General features: G+C 35.9%; 1 protein-coding gene across 15 annotated transcripts in view; it reads right to left on the bottom strand.

Moving 5' to 3' along the window:
• Nucleotides 1-23,753, bottom strand: part of AKAP6 (A-kinase anchoring protein 6) — a 508,387-nt gene that overhangs the window by 84,781 nt on the left and 399,853 nt on the right. For 14 of the 15 annotated variants that reach the window (XM_047431969.1, XM_047431966.1, XM_024449755.2 and 11 more), the window contains 2 exons: nt 20,304-20,450; nt 17,022-17,246 (listed from right to left, as the gene is read on the bottom strand). In XM_047431969.1, coding sequence (XP_047287925.1) covers nt 17,022-17,246; nt 20,304-20,450 — 372 coding nt within the window. Of the gene's footprint in view, nt 1-17,021; nt 17,247-20,303; nt 20,454-23,753 lie in introns of all 15 variants that reach the window. The other variant, XM_011537383.4, reaches the window with a different exon arrangement.

Here is a 23,753-nt window from a genome sequence, read left to right as displayed (position 1 = left end):
CACACACACATAATGAAATGCTATTCAGTCTTAAAAAAGAAAGAAATCCTGTCATTTGTGACAACATGGATGAACCTGGAAGACATTATATTAAGTGAAATAAGCCAGGCACAGAAAGACAAATACTGCGTGATCTCATTTATATGTAAAATTTTAATAAATTGAACTCAGAGAAGAGATTAGAATGGCAGTTGCCAGAGACTGGGCTAGGGGATGGGGGTGACAGGGGTGAAGAGATTTTAGTCAAAGGGTGACAAAGTTTCAGTTAGAAAGCAAGAAAAATGACAAGTATATGAGGTGATGGATATGCTAATTAGCTTGATTTAATCATGTCACGACATATACATATATCAAAACATCACAATGTACACTGTAAATATGTTCAATTCTTATTTGTCTGTTATACCTTAATAAAGCTGGGAGGTGGGGGGTGGAAATCCAATCTCTTCCCTCTCACTGTAATTGTCCCATATCAAACCCTCAGGGCATATCACCTAAGTTACAGAATAGCAACCTCCTAATAGGACTTTCTCCTTCCAGGTTGGTTGAAACATGCTCTGCAAGACCACCCTCCTGCTCTGGAACACTGAGGACATCCCTGGTAAATTAACAAAGAGTAGGCTACTTACTTTGCTTGCAGCCCCACTTGACATCAGACAGTTTACCCTATGCTTCAATATCAATAAACAATTTGCTATTCCGCACATATGGTGTTTCTCATCCCTGAATTTTAATAAAATTGAAGAAAATCTACAATTTCCCTTTGGTTTTTGTCTCAGACTGAAATATCTGTACAGGGAGCCATTTATATAATATTTCAAAGAGGATCTATCTCAACACCCAGTGTTAGAAAACAAAAACTCCTTAAAAAGGGACAGAAAAATCAACACACATCAACAGACACTGTAGTTCAAATGAGGGCCCAATTTGAAGACTCAGAACAATACTGAAATAAGTTAATACCAAAAAAGAGAAAACAATTCATGTCTTGAAAATATGCACAAGGATATTGCATTCATGGCACTGAGATAAGTTGGTACTTTTGAAGACAGAACAATTTAAGATCAGTAAAGATTGTATAAAAATGAAAAGAACTTCTGTTGAATTAAAAATTGCAATGAAAACAATGAATTACAAAATTAGGTTCTGCAGAAACAGAAAACAAGCTTGAGAATTCTACCAGAAGTCCCTAGATGAAGAAACAAAAATAAAAATAGATTTTTTTTTAAGTGAAGGCAAGATCTGGGAGATTCAATATGCGCAGAGCAGGACTTCCAAAAAGACGAAACTAAACATATAGAGAAATTACGATAATCAAACAGCGGGTAAAACTTTCCTGATCTAAAGCAGGATTTTCAAAATCATTTAGGACTCACCAAGTTCCCAGCAAAAAAAAAAAAAAAAAGTGAAAAGAGACAGATACCTAGTCCTACATAAATGAAACTAAAACAAAAGCTACAACTCACACATAAAAGAGAAGCATATCTTCTCTTTAATGACTATAAATTCCAAAAGAATCATTAGCAATTTTGATGACAAAAGATTATGCTGCCCTTAGAAAAATTTTATATTCAGCCAAGCTATTGTTTATATGTGAGGTAAAAGTAAAATACATTTTCTGACACACAAGGGTTTGGAAAAAATACTAGGAATGGACTTTTCCTGTGAAAATTATTAGAAGATGATCCAATAGCCAGTACTAAAAATACATTTTTAGTGGAAAGTTGTGATATGAAAAAAACTGAAGTTCAGCAATGAAAATAATATAATTAATTCTGAATTACTTTTATTTTTATTCATTAAAAAAAATTATTTAGCAACCCAGTCCCACTATCTTGCCCAGGCTAGAGTGCAGTATAAAGAATGAACAGGCTGGGTGCGGTGGCTCACGCCTGTAATCCCAGCACTTTGAGAGGCCAAGGGGGTGGATCACGAGGTCAGGAGATGGAGACCATCCTGGCTAACATGGTGAAACCCCATCTCTACTAAAAATACAAAAAAATTAGCCGGGCATGGTGGCAGGCGCCTGTAGTCCCAGCTACTCGGGAGGCTGAGGCAGGAGAATGGGGTGAACCCGGGCTTGCAGTGAGCCGAGATCACACCACTGCACTCCAGCGTGGGTGACAGAGTGAGACTCCATCTGAAAAAAAAACAAAAAAAAAAAAACAAAATTAATTTAGTGACCCAGTCCTGCTCTCTTGTCCAGGCTACAGTGCACAATTGTAGCTCACTGTACCCTTGAACCCCTGGGGTGAAGCAATCTTCTCACTTCAGCCTCCTAAGTATCTAAGACTACAGGCACCCACCACCACACTTAGATAATTGAGCACAATCTTTTTTTTTTTGTAGAGATGGGGTCTTACTATGTTGCCCAGGCTGGTCTCAAACTCCTGACGTCAAGTGATCCTACTGCTTTGGTCTCCGAAAGTGCTATGATTACAAGAATGAGCCTCCAAGCTAGACCTGAATTACTTTCAATATAATGCAAATGTCAAAAGAAATACTTGAAGGTGTGAAAAAGGACATAATTATATTAGTAAAATAATCATAAAACCTAAAAATTAAATCTAAGATTATATAATATCAACAAAAATAGGGAAATAGGCTGGAGGACACAGGAAAAAAAAGCTCATTTTTAAATTGTAAAAGTGGCATCTGATTCAATCTTGGCACTGTAAATAAAGAAAATACGTAATTAAAAAAAATCCTTCCAATTCACTGCAGTGGAAACAAAGAAAATAACATTCCATGTAGCAAAATATTTAAACTAGCCCATAATATAAGCTTTGTGGTATTGCTAAAACTCAGCCCAGTGCCTAAATGAAAGAATGTCATAAGATGAAAAAAGATCAGTAATCTTAATCAAGGAAATAAATATGAATGGGCTTAATATTCTTATTAGAAGATAGAAACTGTCAGATTTGGGTAGAATGCAATTTGTAAGAAACTTGCCTAAAATAATACAATGTGGAAAACTGATACCAAAAGGACAGGCAAGGATATACTATAAGCCTCTACATATATTGTGAAGGACTTCAAGTTACCTAAGAGATGAGAAAGGAAGAGGCTAGGCCTATGATTGTAGGGTTTCTGGTTAGTCCTTCCAGATTCAAATCCTCCATCTCTTCAACTTGGTCATTAATTTTAACTGAGAATTGTATGTCTTACATATCTTATAGATCTGTACATTTGTTTGCCATCACCGCACTAGCAGTTTATTAGTGTATTTCTTTTCACTTTAAAAACGACTCAATCAAACAAGTCTCTGTTAATTTATAAGCCAGTAAAAATATATTCACGTTATCAGTATGGCTATCCAGGCTGAAATTCATAAATGGGAAGACTTTTTACTTCCCTCTTTGGGCCAGTGTCTGTGCTGAATATTACAATGCTAGAAAGGAAATGGGTACAAAGAGAAAGACTGCTACCGTGTGCTAAAGGCAAGAACACTGCAATTTTAGTTCAAAAGATGCTTCTTTCCTTTTGCAGTATCATTTTCGATGAGGGAAACATAAATCCTGGTATACAGAATTGGCTATTGGCTGATCTACTTAAAATTTTGTGCCAAGCTGAAAGTGCTGTTTAAAGAAATTAAATGACATCTATAATTGAAAAATTTACCAATGGAAAAAGGTAGCTCTTACAGAATCACAAGAAGGCTAGCGTTGAAAGGAATCTTCTCAATCAAAAAAACCTAAATTTATAAATAGTCTCAGGCAAAGAAAACTTACTTCCTGAGATTACACAGCTGAAAGTCCTAGGTCATAGGGTTGCCAACTAACAGAAACTAGTGATGATACTCAATAAATACTATTAATTGGCCAATTATAAAAGAATCATGTTGTAGTAAAAGTTACAGAAGATGAATGGCAATTCAATATGGTCATTAAAATATAAATTTTGTTTCTCTCCTTAAATGAAGGTCTAATTGTGTGTGTATATGTGTGTGTGTGTACACTTGTGTGTGCACTCATAATGCAATAATTTTGGAGAAACAAGAGGTAAAAAGAGGGTTTACAAAAGAAGGTCATGGAGACAGAAGTTGGAGTAGAAAATGGACTCGAAGTAAATGGTGTGCCGCCTTGCTCAAAAGAGGAAAAGTAGCCTGAAAGTGAAGACCCACCCTTAATAATCTGGGACTTGGTTTTTACCACCCCAAAAGAGCTCTTCCTTCCCAGGTCAAAGGGCAAACTTGGGAGGTATACTGACTATCTCCTTTTTTCCTAGTCTTGGGAGGGAAAAAAGTTCTCTTATGGTTTTATCTAGGTAGTAAGCAGGTCAATGATCCAATTAATAGATAATTCAGTTCCTAGAGATCATACAACTCACCAAAGTAGGTGAAACCCCAAGGAATTTGCTTTATCTATTTACTATAACCCTGCTTTATTAAATGTTAATGCTTTTTTGAAAGTACAGTTTCATGCTTTAGAATTCTAATGCTGACTGCTAAAATATATTGAGCTCTTAGTAGGCAGGCCCTATTTTAAGCAGTCTTCATTTATATATTGTCTCATTTAACACTCACAACCACTTCTTAAGGTAAGTAATATCATTATCCCTGTTTGTAAGATAAGAAACCTGGAGCTTTCAGGAAGATGATCTGTCAGAAAGAGGTAGAGCTAGGACAAACCCAAGCAACTTGAATCCACACTTAAGCCTCTAAACTATGATGGATCAGATTCACTGTTCCCATCCTATACTTACTTGAGTGGAGAGCACTGAGATACCTTTGCAATTATGTTCTTCCAGTTTTTTCCTTATTTGAATGTACTAACAAAGAAAGTTACATTTAAGTAATTTAAGAGATCAGTTAAGAGTAGAAACATTCATTCTCTGGTTTCAGAGGCCAAATGCTGTTCTGTCTGATTTTCAAGACAATAAGTAAAGATGGGTGAGATCTCTCTTTCCTCTTTCTAGATTAGCATGACAGCCCTTGACTTCCATGAATCTGGTCTGTCTGACAGCAGCAGTGCAAACACCACATATAAAATGAGTACACAGCTGTATCTCTGCCTTCTCAAATCAAGGGCAGAACTCTCTACTTCATAGGAATCATTCAGCATCTTCTTCTAGCAAAATATGTAATCAGAAAGAATTGGGCTGCTATTCCATTTTCTTTTACTCTAGAAAACTGCACTGGGACTGCCTGTAAAAATGTTCTGTGGGTTTTCCCACCACCCTCAGACAGTAGTGTGAATAATATTTATTTATATTAAATCTACCTTTGAATTTCAACCTTAACCCAGCCAATTTTTCTTATAAGGCAGTCCTGAACTGTATCCAATTATTTAAAATTATTTCCAAAGAAGTGTTAGGTGACGGGTTTTTAATATGTGGTGGGGAAAAAACCTAATAAAAGACTGTTGATGAATATACGTGGTTTTCTTTTGATGGATATACGTGGTTAATATAATAGTTTTTTTAAATGTATCTATGATATGTAGAAAGGATTAAGTCCTGTTTGATGTCTATTGAATTTGAAAGTGTTTTGTATGCTTTTGTTATGGTTAGACTGAGTTACTGTAATTCTTTATTTGCAACTTTGCCAACAGCAACATTACTAAGTTTGTAATGGCTCCAAGTTAGAGCAGCAGGGATGATCCAGGCACCTGTAGGAATCATGGCTACTTTTCTTATACATCAAAACTGCTAAAACATTGTATCCTGTCTTTCAAACTCATCTCCTTTAAATGTGGTTTTGGGGTCAGAGGAAGTGAGATTACTTATGATACCATTTGAAATTGGTTATAGTGGACATGAGAAATTCCCCCTAAAAGACTTGATGAAATTGGTCTTATTTTTATTTCTGAAAATTATGCACTGAGGTTTTAGGAAACATTTCTTAAAGCATATGAACTGCTTAGCTCTTTTCTTCCTTTATTCTGTAAAAGTAAATCAGTGATACTCCTTTTCAGAGTAATTACTTGTCAATGGTGCACATTTTATTGTTAATTTGAAATCCTTTTAAAGGCCCTGTTCTATAAATTTTAATTTCCAAGACTTAAAATGTTGACTCCCTGACTTCCTCCAGCCGGCTGTCAAGTATTCAGAATGGAATAAGGAACAAAAGAGCAAACTATGTGCTTTTCTCTTTCAAGTAACAGATCTTTGACCTAGGGACTTTTGAGTCTACATAGGGGCAGATTCTGAAACGGTTTCTAGGTGTGACTATTGGCTCTATCACTTACTAACTTTATGACCTTGAGTAAGTTACTTCAATTTTCCCCACCTCAGTGTTCTCATCCATAATAGCGGATGGGGCAGAGCAAGATACCAGAATAGAAGGCTCCCTAATCATTCCCCTTGTACCTCTTGACAAGTACACCAATTTAATGATGATCCACTCTGACTGTCTTGCATCTCAGATACCAGCTCAACCACAGCAGGATAGGGCAGCAGTCAAAATTTTAAGGCCCCCGTTCCAGGACCTAGCTCCCAGATGACATCTCTAGACATGATCCTAGGCCAGAAGGAAACCCACTACCTTGAAAGGAAGGTCCAAGTCCTGGCAGCATTAATCACCTGCTAACTGTAGACCCTTTGAACCCTGAAAAACCAGCAGTAATACCCAGGTACTATGTAGAGGGCCTTGGATGAGTCCCTGAGACTTGCGGCTTCAGGTGAGACTTAGCAGATTTCCATGTGTGGTGGCTACAGGGCAAAACTCCTTCTGCTTGAGGAGAGCAGAGGGAAAAGTAAAGAGGACTTGGTCTCGCATCTTAGATATCAGCTTGGCTACAGAGGGGTAGAGTAACAAGTGGGCTCTTGGGGTCCCCAATTCCAGGACTTGACTCTTAGATGGCATTTCTGGACTTGCTCTGGGCCAGAGGGGAGCCCACTTCCCTGAAAGGTGAGTCCCAGGCCAGGCAGCATTCACCATAAGCTGACATAAGAGCCCTTGAATCTTAAGGGAACATCGGTGGTAGTCTGGCAGTACTCTCCATGGTCTGTGCTGGTGGCCATAGGGTGAGGCTCCCCTGGTTTTGGAAAGGGGATGGAAGAGTGGGAAGAACTGCATCTTGTGATTTGAGTGCCAGTGCAGCCACAGTAAAACAGAACACCTGGTAGACTTCTAAGGCTTTCAACTCTAGTCCCTGACTCCTGGAAGGCACCTCTTGGACCCAACAGGGGCCTGGGAGAACTTGCTGCCCTGAAGGGAAGCACACAGGTAGAGCTGGCTTTGCCACCTGCTGCCTGTAGAGCCCCAGGGCCTTGAGTAAACACAGGCAGTAGCCAGGGAGTGTTTGCAGCAGGCCTTGGGCGGGACCCAGTGCTGTGCTGGCTTCAGGTCTGAACCAGCACAGTCATAGTGGTGGTGGCCATAGGGATGCTTGTGTCACTCCACCCCCAGCTTTAGGTGGCTCATAACAGAGAGAGAGACAGACAGAGAGAGAGAGAGAGAGAGACAGAGAGAGAGAGAGAGAGAGAGAGAGAGAGAGAGAATGAATAAATATTTGTTTGGCAGAAAGTAAGGGAAAAAAACAAGAGTCTCTGCCTGGCAATCCAGAAATTATCCTAGACGTTGTCCAAGACCATCAAGCCAGTACCTCTTTGAGTCTGCAAGAACTACAGCATTACTGGGTTTAGGGTGCTCCCTAAAACAGATACAGCATAGATCACAACACCCTAGTCATTTCAAATATCTGGAAAGCCTTCCCAAGAAGAACAGGTACAAACAAGCCCAGACAGTAAAGATTACAATAAATACCTAACTCTTCAATGCCCAGATACCGAAGAACATCTACTAGAATCAACACATTCCAGGAAAACATGACCTCACCAAATGAACTAAATAAGGCACAAGAGACCAGTCCAGGAGAAACAGAGATATGTGACCTTTCAGACAAATAACTCAAAATTGCTGTGTTGCAAAAACTCAAAGAATTCAAGATAACACAGAGAAGGAATTCAGAATTCTACCAGATAAAGATTAAAATAATTAAAAAGAATCATGCAGAAATTCTGGATCTGAAAAAATGCAGTTGGCATACTGAAGAATGCATCAGGCTTTTAACAGCAGAATTTATCAAGCAGAAGAATTAGTGAGCTTGAAGACAGACTATTTGAAAATATACAGTCAGAGGAGACAACAGAAAAAGGAATAAAAACAATGAAGTAGGCCTCCAAGGTCCAGAAAATTGCCTCAAAAGGGCCAATCTAAGAGTTATTGGCCTTAAAGAGGAGGTAGAGAGATAGGAATAGAAAGTTCATTCAAAGGGATAATAAAAACAAAGAACTTCCCAAACCCAAAGAAAAATATCAATAAGTACAAGAATATTATACCAAGGACCGGGTGCAGTGGCTCATGCCTGTAATCCCAGTACTTTGGGGAGGCCAAGGAGGGCAGATCACGAGGTCAGGAGATCGAGACCATCCTGGCTAGTGCAGTGAAACCCTGTCTCTACCAAAGATACAAAGAATTGGCTGGGTGTGGTGGCGGGTGCCTGTAGTCCCAGCTACTCATGAGGCTGAGGCAGGACAATGGTGTGAACCCAGGAGGTGGAGTTTGCAGTGAGCCGAGATTGTGCCACTGCACTCTAGCCTGGGTGACAGAGCGAGACTCCATCTCAAAAATAAAATAAAATAAAATAAAATAATTAAAAAAAAAGAACAGAATATAACACCAAGCAGATTTAACCCAAAGAAGGCTACCTCAAGGCATTTAATAAACTCCCAAAGGTCAAGGATAAAGAAAGGATCCTAAAAGTGGCAAGAGAAAAGAAGCAAATAACATACAATGGAGCTCCAATATGGCAGGCAGCAGACTTTTCAGTGGAAACCTTACAGGCCAGGAGAAAGTGACATGACATATTTAAAGTGTTGAAGGAAAAAAACTTTTTAACCTAGAATAGTATATCTGGCAAAAATATCTTTCAAACATGAGGTAGAAATAGAGACTTTCCCAAACAAACAAAAGCTGAGGGATTTCATCAACACCAGACCTGTCCTACAAGAAATCCTAAGGGGAATACTTCAGTTAGAAAGAAAAGGACGTTAGTGAGCAACAAGTAATCACCTGAAGGTAAAAAACTCACTGGTTTCAGTAATTACACAGAAAAACAGAATATTTTAACAATGCAACTGTGGTATGTAAACTACTCATATCCTAATAGAAAGACTAAATGATGAACCAAAAAAAAATAATAACTACAACAACTTTTCAAGACACAGACAGTACAACAAAATATAAACAGAAACAACAAAAAGCTAAAAAGCAGGAGGAAGAAGTTAAGGTGTAGAGTTTTTATTAGTTTTCTTTTTGCTTGTTTGTTGGTTTATGCAAACAGTATTGTTGTTATCAGCTTAAAATAATGGGTTATAAGATAGTATTTCCAAGCCTCATGGTAACCTCAAACCAAAAAACACACAAATGGATACACAAACAATGAAAAGCAAGAAACTAAATCATATCATCAGAGAAAAACACCTTTACTAAAGGAAGACAGGAAGGAAAGAATGAGAAAGAGAAGACCACAAAACAATGAGGAAACAAATAACAAAATAGCAGGAGTAAGTCCTAACTTATCAATAATAATGCTGAATGTAACGGACTAAATTCTCCAATAAAAAGACACAGAGTGGCTGAAGGGATGAAAAAATAAAACCCATTGATCCGTTGCCTACAAGAAATACACTTTGACTATAAAGATACACATAGACTGAAAGTATAGGGACAGAAAAAGATTCCATGCCAGTGGAAACCAAAAAAGAGGAGGAGTAGCTATGTGTATATCAGACAAAATAGATTTCAAGGCAAAAACTATAAGAAGAGACCAAGAGGGTCACTATATAATGATAAAGGGGTCAATTCAGCAAGATGATACAATTTGAAAGATGTATGCACTCAATACTAGAGTACCCAGATCAATAAAGCAAATATTATTAGAGCTAAAGAGAGACATAGGCCCCAACACAGTAATAGCTGGAGACTTCAACTCACCCACTTTCAGCATCAGACAGATCTTCTAGACATAAAATCAAGAAAAAAACATTGGATTTAGCCTGCACTATAGACCAAATGGATCTAATAGATATTTTCAGAACTTTTCATCCAAGAGCTGCAAAATACACATTTTTTTCCTCAACACATGGATCATTCTCAAGGATAGACCATATGTTAGATCACAAAACGAGTCTTAAAACATTCCAAAAAAAGTAAATAATATCAAGCATCTTCTCTGACCATAATGGAATAAAACTAGAAATCAATAACAAGAAAAATTTTGGAAACTATACAAACACAAGGAAATTAAACAATACACTCCTGAATGACCAATGGGTCAATAAAGAAATTAAGAAGGAAATTGAAAAGTTTCTTGAAACAAATGATAATGGAAATACAACATACCAAAACCTATGGGATACAGTAAAAGCAGTACTAAGAGGGAATTTTGTAGTTATAAGTGCCTACATCAAAAAAAGAGGAAAAACTTCAAATAAACAATATAACAAAGCATCTTAAAGAACTAGAAAAGCATAAGCAAACCAAACCCAAAATTAGTAGAAGAAAAGAAATAATGAAGATCAGAGCAGAAATAAAAGAAATTGAAATGAAGAAAAAAATACAAAAGATCAAGGAAATAAAAAGTCATTTTTTTAAGTTCAACAAAATTGAAAAACCTTCAGGCAGACTAAGAAAAAGAGAGAAGATCCAAATAAATAAAATCATAAATGAAAAAAGAAACATTGTAAGTGATACTTCAGAAATTCAAAGGATCATTAGTGGCTACTATGAGCAACTATACGCCAATAAATTGGAGAACCTAGAAGAAATGAACAAATTCCTAGACACATACAACCTATCAAGATTGAACCAGGAAGAAATCCAAAACCTGAAGAGACCAATAACAAGTAATGAGATTGAAGCCATAATAAAAAATCCCCCAGTAAAGAAAAGCCAGGGACCCGATGGCTTCACTGCTGAATGTTACCAAACATTTAAAGAGAAACTAATACCAATCCTACTAAAATTATTCCAAAAAATAGAGGAGGGCATACTTCCAAACTCATTCTATGAGACCAGTATTACCCTGATACTGAAACCAGACAGAGACGCACTAAAAAAAAAAAAAAAAAAAAAAAAACCTACAGGCTAATATCTCTGATAAATACTGATGCAAAAACCCTCAACAAAATACTAGCAAACCAAATTCAATAATACATTAAAAAGATTATTCATCACGACCAAGGGGAATTTATCTGAAGGATGCAAGAATGGTTCAACATATGCAAATCAATCAATGTGATCCATCATATCAACAGAATGAAAGATAAAAACCATATGATCCTTTAAACTGATGCTGAAAAAGCACTGGATAGAATTCAACATCCCTACATGGTAAAAATCCTAAAAAAAAAATGGGGATGGATGGAACATATCTCAACATAATAAAAGCTATATACGACCGAGCCACAGGTAGTATCACATTGAACGGGAGAAAACTGAAAACCTTTCCTCCAAGATTTGGAACATGGCAAGAATGTCCACTTTCACTGTCACCAACATAGTTCTGGAAGTCCTAGCTAAAGCGATCAGACAAGAGAAAGAAATAGAGGCATCCAAATCAGAAAAGAAGATGTCAAATTATCTGCATTTGCAGATATTATCTTACATTTGAAAAAACCTAGACTCCTAAAAAACCTATTCAAACTGATAAATTCAGTAAAGTTGCGGGATACAAAATCAACATAACAAAATCAGTAGCGTTTCTATATGTCAACAGTGAACAATCTGAAAAAGAGATTAATAAAAGTGATACCATTTACAATAGCCTAAAATAAAATTAAATACCAGGAATTAACCAAAGAACTGAAAAATCTCTATGATTAAAATAACAAAACATTGATGAAAGAAATTGAAGAGAACACACACAAAAAAAAAAAAAGAAAAAAGGAAAGACACTCCATTTTCATGGATTGGAAGAATCAATATTATTAAAACATCCATACTATCCAAAGCAATCTACAAATTCAATACAATCTCTATCAAAATACCAATGACATTCTTCACAGAAATGGAAAAAACAATTTTAAAATGTATATGGAACCACAAAAGACCCAGAATAGCTAAAGCTATCCTGAGGAAAAAGAATAAAACTGTATACCTGACTTCAAAGTATACTACAGAATTAGTAGTTAACCAAATAGCATGGTACCAACCTAAAAATAGACACATAGACGAATGGAACAGAACAGAGAACCCAAAAATGAATTCACACACCTACAGTGAACTCATTTTCAACAAACTTGCCAAGAACATACACTGTGGAAGAGACAGTCTCTTCAATAAATGGTGCTGGGAAAACTGGATCTCTATATGCAGAAGATGAAACTAGACCCCTACCTCTCACCATATACAAAAATCAAATAAAAATGGATTAAGGACTTAAATCTAAGACCTCAAACTATGAAACTAATACAAGAAAACATTAGGGGAAATCTCTAGGGCATTGATCTGGGCAAATATTTCTGGGGCAATACCTCATAAGCACAAGCAACCTCAGCAAAAATGGACAAATGAGATCATATCAAGATAAAAAGCTACTGCATAGCAAAGGAAATAACAAGATGAAGACACAACCCACAGAATGGGAGAAAATATTTGCAAACTACCCATCTGACAAGGGATTAATAACCAGAATATACAAGGAGCTCAAACAACTGTATAGGGAAAAAATCTAATAATATGATCAAAAAATGGGCAAAAGGTTTGAATAGCCATTTCTCAAAAGAAGACATACAAATGGCAAACAGGCATATGAAAAGGGACTCAACATCATTGAGCATCAGAGAAATGAAAATTAAATCTACAATGAGATACCATCTCACTCCAGTTAAAATGGCTTTTATCCAAAAGACAGGCAATAACAAATGCTGGCGAGGATGTGGAGAAAAGGGAACTTTTGTTCACTGTTGGTGGGAATGTAAATTAGGACAACCACTATGGGGAACAGTTTGAAGGTTCTCCAAAAAACTAAAAATAGAGCTACCATATGATCCAACAATCCCACCGCTAGGTATATATCCAAAAGAAAGGAAATCAGTATATTGAAGAAATTTCTGCACTCTCATATTTGTTGCAGCACTATTCACAATAGCCAAGATTTGGAAGCCCAACCTAAGTATCCACCAACAGAAGAATGGATAAAGAAAATGTGGTACATATACATAATGGAATACTATTCAGCTATAAAAAAGAATGAGATCGTGTCATTTACAACAACATGGACCGAACCAGAGATCATTTTGTTAAGTGAAATAAGCCAGGAACAGAAAGACAAACATTGCATGTTCTCACTTATTTGTGGCCTCTAAAAATTAAAACAATTGAACTCACACATATAGAGAGTAGGGGGGATGGTTACCAGAGGCTGGAAAGGGTAGTAGGGGCAAACAGGGTGGTTAATGGGTACAAAGAAAAAAATAGAATGAATGAATAAGACCCAGTATTTGATAGCACAACAGGGGGACTATAGTCAATAGTAACTTAATTGTATATTTTTAAATAACTAAAAAAGTATAATTGGATTGTTTGTAACATAGAGGGTAAATACTTGAGGGGATGGATACCCCATTCTCCATGACGTGATTAGTACCCATTGCATGTCTGTAACAAAAAAACTCATGTGCTCCATAAATATATACACCTACTATGGACCCACGAATTTTCAAAATTTTAAAAATAAAAATAAAATATAAATAGCAGATCATACTATAATATGTCTCAGGATGGTGATGAGGAATAAGTAAGTGAATGCAGGTAAAACATTTAGAAAGTGTGCCTCATACATATTAGGTGTGGTTGTTACAATTATTAAAATAACTTTTTGTCCCCCTAATGCAATTGTAGCATGGTCTCCTTTCTTTAAAGATGACACAGACTGTATCTATTCCCATGCTTATAATAATTTTTGTAATCTAGAGCAGGGTCAGGAAACTATGGCCTCTAGGTCAAATCAAGCCCACTGCCCTACTTTTGTAAGTAGTTTTGTAAATTAGTTTTATTGAACACAGCCATACTTATTCATTTAGATATTGTCTGTGGCTGCTTTTGCACTATGATGGCAGAGCTGAGTAATTCATACAGAGATTATACTATTATCCGGCTTTTACAGAAAATGTTTGTCAACCCCTGATTTAAAGTAAAGCAAAGTTTCAAAGTGTATTTGAAAAGTCAGTGAATGACAGGATGGGAATTTGTACTTAAAGACAATCATTTTCCCTCTGTCTCTGCTGCTGGTTGCTATGGGGATTCAAATGAGTCACATTACCTTTCCACAACTCAAATTCTTCATTCATAAAGATAAATACCCACACATATAAGAAGGTCATCATAATTTTCTGACTTACATAATTAGTGTATATTTTAAGTATAACAATATGCATAAAAGTGCTTGGTCAAATTTAAATTATTAAAGCAGATTTCGGTTATTAATCATCAACAAGGTTATTAAATCTAATCCACTCATTCACCTTCTTGATGACAAAGTCTTGTAACAGGTCTAAACTTGCTCTTCCTCGACTCGTTTTGGGACCAGGCCAGCGCTGTGGCCTTCTTTAGCTGGTAATGAATAATATCTTCCCATTTGGAGTCTTTAGAATAATGAATTTGGTTATGGGATACAAGGAACATATGATTAAGTAATTATTTTCTTTTCTCTCTGAAGGGTCATCATTAAAAAGTAGTGCTTTCCAGCCAATGGCATTGAAGCTGCACACACACAGCTCAAAGGGACCCTTTGCCAGCTGGCCTCATTAAATCCCTGACATACTCTCCTGCATTTTGTTATCAGAGTGTGTTCATTCCTTGATAATTCTGCATTCCTATCCCAGAGCTCTTAGGACCACACCTTCATGTTTCTTCCCTCTTGCTGAGTTTGGACTCTTTCTTTGTTGGGTAGAATTTTCTTCTGTGTCTAATCCCATATTTCTCATACGTATTGCTTAAAGAAAAGGAAAATGTTCCACAATTGGTTTGTCCTTTTTTCTGAAAACTGAAGATCCTGATCCCTTGTCTCATCCCAGACCAATCTATTAGAAGGAAACGCAGTTCTGTCTACAAAGCTATGGGTTTTCCTTTTCATATGCAGCACCTTCCCTTCCATTCTCCTGGAGAGTACATTGTAGTTTATCTGTCATTACTCTTAGTGTCATATAAAGGACTTCAGTTATGTTAAAAGGCTGAGGATTTATAGGATAAAGAATCATAAAGCTAAACCTTGTAGATAAAGCCTGTCCTCTTCTGTGTGACCAGTCATGGCAGGAGACCTTTAGGAACCCACGAGAGGCAGAGCATGGCAGAGGGTTTCCCATATGTAAAAAGGTTCTTCAGTCACTCTCCTGTCTGAGCTGTTTCATCACTTAGAAAGGCAGAGTGTACCTGTTCTTTGGGTTTATGGCAAGTAAAAAATTGTTACTCTGTACATGCTTATTACCAATTATAATTTTGACAGGTTACAAACATTATATTACGTTATTATTATATTACAAACATTTGCTTCCATTCTTCCAGTGAATGTGGTAATACACAGAACACTGGATTAATCATATACCAAACACTAAGAGTAAATAGCTCAGAATTATTTAAAATTCTGGCTAGGAAAAAGATTTATTCCAACAGTCATGAATAAAATTTTCTTTAAAAACAATAAAAAGGTGCCATTATGCTAGATCCCCCTAACTCATCTGATCAAACTCCTCAAGGTCAACTTTAGAAAGGAACTAGTTTCAAGTCATAAAGAAAAATCATCAGGGCTCCATAATCTCAAAAAGTTTGAAAAGTTTCATTAAAAGATCTGAAGATTCCATCTCCCTGCAGTAGAGGTTAGGATGGGTCAAGTAGAGATAAAACAGCAAATCACCTGGGTATTAGATTTTAGACCATAAACCCATTTGCTTTGGCAAGACACTTTAACTTCCAGTTTAGTCTGTCAGTTAAGTGGCAGAAGAGGAGGTTTTCAATGAAAGCAAATTTACAGGTGTGCAATGCAGATAGTTTATTGGGAAGTATTGTGGTCTTGTCTTTGAGGGTGCCTCCACTAGGGTTATAGAGGTGAGCAAGATGACTCTGCCTGTTTGGCAGAGAGAAGGTGAATCACATGTGACTAAATTTTCTGACGGATTACTGGATGATTGCAGGCAAGGTGGGATGAATAAAACCTGGTCCTACGATGCTTTGAGAAGAAATGGTTGCTTGGTTCCAAAAAGTTCTTTCCTTCTTGGTTTTCCTTTTTCTCCTCTTTAAGATTTCTCATGATGAAGATTTATTGCCACCAAATTCAAATTCTGCAACCCCAAAGCCTCAGGCCAGCACTAGCCAGAACCCAAATAATGACTGCATTTATGGAAAGATTCAAGCAGTATGGGCTAGGTTGGGCAATAGGGGAAAACATTCTAATGTTAAATTGCTTTTAAATAGATATTGTGTAAACAATAGGAACAAACCAGGGGAAATGCCTCTCCATGGACATACAGTGAAAATGAATATTGTATTGCTCAGGTTGGTATATTCTATAATGGAATATGCCTGTAATGTGTGAACTTGTTTTACATTATTTCTTCCCTCCATAAATAGTTGACTCTTTCATATGTAAAAATTATGTTTCCTTTTGTTAGCAGTAATGGACTTCGATTAAATCATGTGTTTTTATCATATCAATTTGTGTAAGTATTTTTATCCAAGTTATTTACAGAACATTTAGGTCTGTCCTTCAAAGGCCTTAGTAATCTTTAGTGTTTGCTGGTCTGCTTTTAACTCATCAAAGTCCTCCCTCAACAAGCATTGCAAAAAACACACATGCAGCAGAGATTTCCCCTCTACAATGTATATGTGATATGCTTAATGTTCATCTTTATACACATAGAGACATATAAGAAATGTGGAGGTTGTCTATAAATTCAAGGAAACATTTAGGTGCACAGTGATACACAGATACATGGGTATAATACTTCATGTACTTGATAAATATTTCATCCCTACCATAAAAAGAGCTTTTTATCAACTTTGATTGTTTTTTTATTACCTTAAAGTATTGCAGTTGTTTCTCAGTATTCATTGTTCCTTCCTTTTCTTGTCTCAGACAGGAATTGAAGATGAAAAGCTCTGTATCTCTTAGCCATCCTTTCAGTTCTTTGATCCTGACCTCCAGCTGCCTTACCAGGCTTCCACTTTCAGGAGAGAGCAGGTCACGTGGACTCGACCCACTGTGCCCTGCCATTGTGTCCTGGATCTTCTCTCCTAGGGTTTTCTAATGCATCAGATTAAAAAACAAAAAATAAAACAAACAAACAAAAAAAAACCCCACGAACAACAAAAAAACAAAAACATAGATTAACTTAGGTACCAAAAACACACCACAGTTTTGTTGGTAACGAGAGCCACCTGGAAGAGTCCATCTATACCTGCCACCTCACTACTGACATTCAGTTCAGATTAGGTCATTGTTCCATTTAGTATTCGAATTCTCAGTGCAAGTTGTTCTGAGTACCAGCGGATACTTAAGAAGACCTCATTCACTTACTTTCCTTTAATAGAAAGGAGATTTAGCCCATAGTTCGCAAGATAAAAATTCATTTGAATTTTTTGGTCACAGAGAAAAATTCATTTGAATTATCATGATAGGAGTTTATAGTAAAAAACTCTCCACATAAAATGTCCAGGAGATGTAAGTTTAATAAATATACTAAAGAGGCCAAGAGTAGATCAAACACGGAGAATTAAATTCCATTTTTTGTTTTGTGACATATTTCCGAAACCATATAACTAAAGGGTTTTAAGAAAAGGAAGCCTCCTTGGTGATGTTGTTGATTTTACCTGACTTGGAAATTGTTCAATCCCACAATTCTTTCCATTTTGCATTTCTGGATGCTGGACTTTCTAATACCGAATATGTGTTAAAATAATCCCCAATTCACTACACTAGAAGCCTACTTAAATTAACCACTATGGCAGGAGAGTGTTGTCGGGGAGGGCTGTTTTCTTTTTTTCTTTTTGGTGGAAAGCAGTCCCAATCAATAGGATTTAAATCTATAATGATGCATTAAACCTACAAAAATAAGCTTTAAAACATAAATAAAATTAAGTCAACAAACATTCATCTGGTGTGTAGTGTTCTGTAAATAGTATCTTTAGGAGACTGTAGCAGAAAAATAGCCTTTCTTGGCAACACCCTTGTATTTTCATGGTGAAAATACTGATAATTTGAAGACCCTCAGTGGAATCCAGATTTAGCTATTGTTTTTACGCTGTAACAAAAGTAGCAGCAGGAGGTGAAATCAATGCCCTTGGAGGGTAGGGTCACAAAAAAGAATTTATTGCCACTTTTTTGTTCTGGAACAGTTTGCAATCATAAATTCTTCATAAACAGAATACTTCAGAGAATGGTCCGTCTTCATAAATATACGACAGAGGACATCAATTTCATTTAATTCACAATTTGTGTCAGCACAGCAGATGCCAATGCCTGCCTTGATAGGGTTGTTTAATATGCAATTGAGACAGAGTAATATGCAGCACAGGGGACACAATTTCACAGATTAAACTGTACGCACCACTGACATTTCATTCTAATGTATTTCCATTCCACACTGTTCACCTTAGATGAAAGTAATATTAAAAACCATATACCTCTATTTTACTATTGTTAGAAGTTAAAATCCTTGTCTTTAATTTTTTTCATGCCAATTAAAATGTAATCATGCCAATTAAAACAGTATGCCTGGTGGTGTTAGTGTGGTACAGGATTTAAAAAAATCTTCCCTCACCCTACTCTCTCACTGCAAACCTGCATGTTGTATTTGAATGATGTTTTTGTCAAAATGGCAACTATTTTTAAAGTCTCTGATTCATAAAGGATAGCTAAATATTATTTCTTTTTTCAAAATAATGTTGACTTAAAATTCTGTTGAGGAAGCAATACATGTGACATAACTTAAACAATTTTCTAAAAATATTATTGTTATTTATCAAATTACCAATGGATATATTAAAATGCAATGTAAACAGACTTATCGCTACTTTATCAAGCACATAAGGTTGCCATTCTTATCTATGTAGTAAACAACCTTTTAAAATGTCATACACTAACCACATTTCTCCTGTTTGAGATCAATGAATGCTGTAGAATACGGCAGGTTTTGATTTAAGTCACCGTATTATAAAGTGAAAGCCATTAATTATTATTAAAAGGCAACAATATGTTAGATGAAAAACTTTTAACATTTTAAGTTACTTTGCACAACTGCAGAGTGTAGTGAATTTAAATGAGAAACAAGGACTTAAACCTGCAGTTTTTTAATCTCCTAGATTAGGCATGGCATAAACAGAATACTGGCATTCCTCCAAATCATCAAGGTACATGAAGAGCTTTTTATTCAAAATATTTTTGGAGTATTATTTATCTAAAATTTTTTTTAAAAGGTAGAAAAATGGAAGGCATGCAAAATTATGCTCCATAACTGACATCGTCCATACTTGGCTGTTATAATTAATTATTTAGGTAATTGACAAATATAGCTTACCCTTGATTTGAAGTGAAGGCAATTTAGGAGAGAAGCTGATGAAAAAATACAGTTTAACTTTTCTCTCAGCTGTCTTCCAACAAAAGGACAGTACTGTCTCCTGCACAGTGCCATCCTGGTCTCTGGGTAACAGAATCTCTATATTGCCTTTTTGCCAGATTCTTGCATCTCAGTCTTTGGCTGAGACCCAGCCCATCATTGCGTGAAATGAATTACATGAAACTTTTTTTTTTTTTGGCTTTTGTTAAAAGTGAGCTGGAAATTGAGGCACAAAACACAGGCTGATTCAATTCTGCAATTCAGATTTGGGTCAAATTTGCATCTTTGTTTTGGTGGCTTTAGTGTGACTTGAAAGCTGTAGTGACAACTCCACTTTTCATCTTAAGGGTACAGTAAATAGTTAAACAGTAGATGTCTCTCACATGTACCTTCAGAATAAATTCTATTAACATTCATTCAAGCATGACAGTCAGTATATATCAGATATACTGTATTATAGTTGACTTGGTGCATACCCATAATACATGGCATATTTTACTTACTTTTTCATGTATTAAAGAACCAAAATTATTAAAATCTGAGAGGGGACAAGCTCAGAAAAAAAAAAAATCAACAGAAGAGGAAAAGCAGTGTCTTTCCCATAATAGCATGAATAGCTTGTTTGAAACGTAGGTAGTGAATTGAAAGAGAGAGATATTTGTGCCTCAAATTAGAAATCGGACAGAGTACTTCACTACGCAAAAAATGTACACATAACCTACAAACAGTAATAAAAATGCAAATACCCCAAGCAGTTCCCATTTTTCATTAATTGAATCCACTTTTTCAAGGAGATCATTTGGTAGTAAAACGCCACCTTTCTTCAAAGCTTCAACCTTACTAAGCAGCTCCGTCTTTTTCAGGTGTCTGATGGACATTTCCACACTGTATCGCTAAAATGAAAAGAGAAAAAGAGATATCATTAGGGAGAGAGGTGTTCTTAGAAAATCATTGAACACAGAATTTGTGATGCTTACGAGCATTAAAAGTTTTTGTTCCCAATAAAATTTATGGGGAGGCTAAACCTAAGTACTTTGAGTAGATGAAGAATATTGCTGAATATATTATATACACACACACACACACACAGTTATTACATTTAGTTGACTAAGATTTACTTCTTAAACTCAAGTTTATACACATATTTGATCTTTAAAATATTCTAAATAGGATAGTAACTGGTCTAGGGGGGTTTAATATTACAGTTAATTTTGGCCATTATTTGGTTCCAGAGTGCTGTCCACCTCTCATCTCTTCCCCTAAAGGACCAGTTTCAAAGTGAAAGAAAAAAAATTATTCATAAAGATTATGTAAGTTATCTGAATTCTCAGTTAACATTTTGTTTTCATTTTCTTTTCCTTAAAAACTCTGTGTGGGCTTGGAGAAAAGGTACATATATAGAGAAAAAGGAAAGCCAACATTTTAGGAGTAGTTACAAATCTATGCTTCTTTATTGATTACTGTAAAATATCCCCCAAATCATAGTTGACTACAGAACCCTCTCCCCCAGTATGTATTATATTCTAACAAACTGCCAAGAGAGTCTCTCCTAAAAGATGTTTTGCTGGAGATAATGTAAGTGCTATTTAATGTGACAGTTACTATGGTGATTCTCTTCAAATAACTCTATTTGGATAACTCCATAGTTAGTCCTATATTATGGATAGCCATAAATGACTATGACTGTACTTTATAAATGTACATGTAAAAACTCCTCTGAGTAGAAAATCTAGATTCTGGTTAAAATATTAAACATATTTTACATTTTCAGCACATTTCCAAGATATAATAGCAATTTTAAAACTTTTTTCTTCCAGGCACCAAATTTAGGTCACTGAGTTCCATGGTAGTATTTTGTTCTTTTGCCCTACATGACCAACGGTGCCCTAAGATAAGCACCTTTATCAGAGTTAATGAGAAAAACTTTTCTCTGGGCAAATAAATAAATCAATAAGTTCAAATGTCCCCAAGCACTTGGGTGATTTCACTCACCTTGAAAACATGATATTATATAAGATCCCAAACAAAAATACAATTGGAAGCAGATTAAAGGAAAAGAAGGTATGAAATCACTGTTTCGGTTAATAGATCTTCAGCATTTGCGTGCATATGTTTGCATACTTTTAGCTTCATATTTTAATCTTTCATTTACACTAAACATGCACATCACTTGTATTATGTAAACTTCTCCAAATGTTAGTCATTTGTGGATCACAGAACAAAATGTTTTAAATGAGGTGATTTAAAGCATTTCATATTATTAATGAATGTTGATCAGGGTGTCAGAGTATCCAAAATTACATGAATATGCATAGTGGAGAAAATCAAGGGTTGCTTTAGAGCGCTTTTAGAATCTGGCCTGTGATACAGGAGAAATTCTGATTGCGTTTTCTAATGGAAGGCAATTACCAGGACCATGTTACTCCAGCACTTAGGAAACACACTGTCCACTTGAATTTTCTGGATTCAATATTCAGGAGCATTCTAGAAACCTAGATAGTGTTTTATTTGTCAGAGCGATGATTGGAGGAGAGGACAATCTGCTTTATGTAATCAGGTTCCCATCTAAAATGATATAGCTGACAAAGATTTACATAATTAATTTGGTAAGATTTCCACATAATATTGGGGGAACCAGTATTTCAGGCAGGCAGGAAAATCTTATTCAAATATTTTACTTATGCCACATGGTATTACTCATTGACAGAAAGAGTCCTCTGGCTGTGCCACTTGGGAATGGCCTCTACCAGTTATCCCTTTAACTTGTGACAAGCTCATCCCCCCCTCTTCACCCCAACTTTAAACAGCTCTCACACAGCACATCAGTCAAGAAAGGAAACAGCTTAGATGTGTCCCATAAAAATGATAGTCTTACACAAATAAAAATATAAAAAGCAATTAATTTAATTTTAGATGTAATAAACCAATCTTCTCTGTTAAATGCGTATAAGTAGTCACTGCAATAGCTATTATAAAAGGTTATTACCTTTAAAAGAAACTTGTCTTTATGTGTGCTCTCAGTCTTTGTCACCATATAGCCGACTGTCTAAACAGCTTGATTTAAGATGTGATTGATGGACAATGCCTTCAAACTCTAATACAAAAGCTAAGAGTATCTAGTTAATTGTTAGATGTATTGATATATGGATGAAAGGTACTAAAATGTTATATAATTTAAGGTGAAAATATTTATTTTAATTTTTGAAGCATATTGAAGGTTAAATCTAATATGTTTAGGGGCTCAAGCTGTATGTGTAATAATGTCAGGAGCTTATATTTTTGTTGATGCTAGTATGTTTTTGCTCTTCTGTCTCTTAACATCTTTTCAGAAGCATTAGACTCAGAAAATCAACTGCCAGCTCTATCAGTTTTCGGTCATCCTATCAAGTGGGGCTACTTTATCCTGTGGTGAGAAGATAATTTAATCTTCATATTCATTCCACCCACAGCAGTAAGTGAGCAGAGGCTGCCCCATTGTGTCCTGTAGTCTGGGGATGTTATGATATAGACTACTCTTCAATAGGCAAAAATGAGATTAGCAAAGTTAAAGTCAGAAAGCTTTTCTTGAGTGCTAAGGTAAATAAGCATCCAGTATTTAATTTCCCCACAGCACCTGCTGTGGGCCTCTCTGTCTAGTCAAAAATAAAATATACTCTCTTGAAAGGCCATATTTACATTATTAAGTGTATTTGCTTGGCCAATTCAATTTTGACTAATGAAGCCTCCTAATAGATATGTGAATGATCTAAATTAAAGACACAGGACAGTACTATTCTAAATGCCATCCCTGTGTATATAAATACAAAGAAAAACTTTTAAAAAAAGGAGTTAAAAATAACTACAAACTCTAGCCCACCATTTTAACTAAGAACTAAAGAAGTTGTAGAAAATTCTTATTGAGTACTTACTTTTAGCACAAATGCTAAAACTGAATTATAAAACAAAGCCAGCAAAAACAGGAATTTCTGAAATAAATATACTTAGAAATGCATGAAGACTTGATTGAGATAACTTTTTTGACAGTTACGCTAAAGGCTTCCCCGCCACACCGAAGTCCCCCTCCTTTTTTTTTGTTAGAAATCACACCGAAAATTCTGCCCAAATGGAGACTGGAACAATGCCTTGAAACAGTGTTAATTGTCACCATGGAAACCAGAAGAATAAGCCATTTTGAAACTGGTATAGAAGGCACACAT

The sequence above is a fragment of the Homo sapiens genome, chromosome 14, assembly GCF_000001405.40.
Source record: "Homo sapiens chromosome 14, GRCh38.p14 Primary Assembly".
Lineage (NCBI taxonomy): Eukaryota > Metazoa > Chordata > Mammalia > Primates > Hominidae > Homo > Homo sapiens.
Note: the sequence above shows the minus strand (reverse complement) of the source record. Positions and strands in the feature narration are given on the sequence as shown.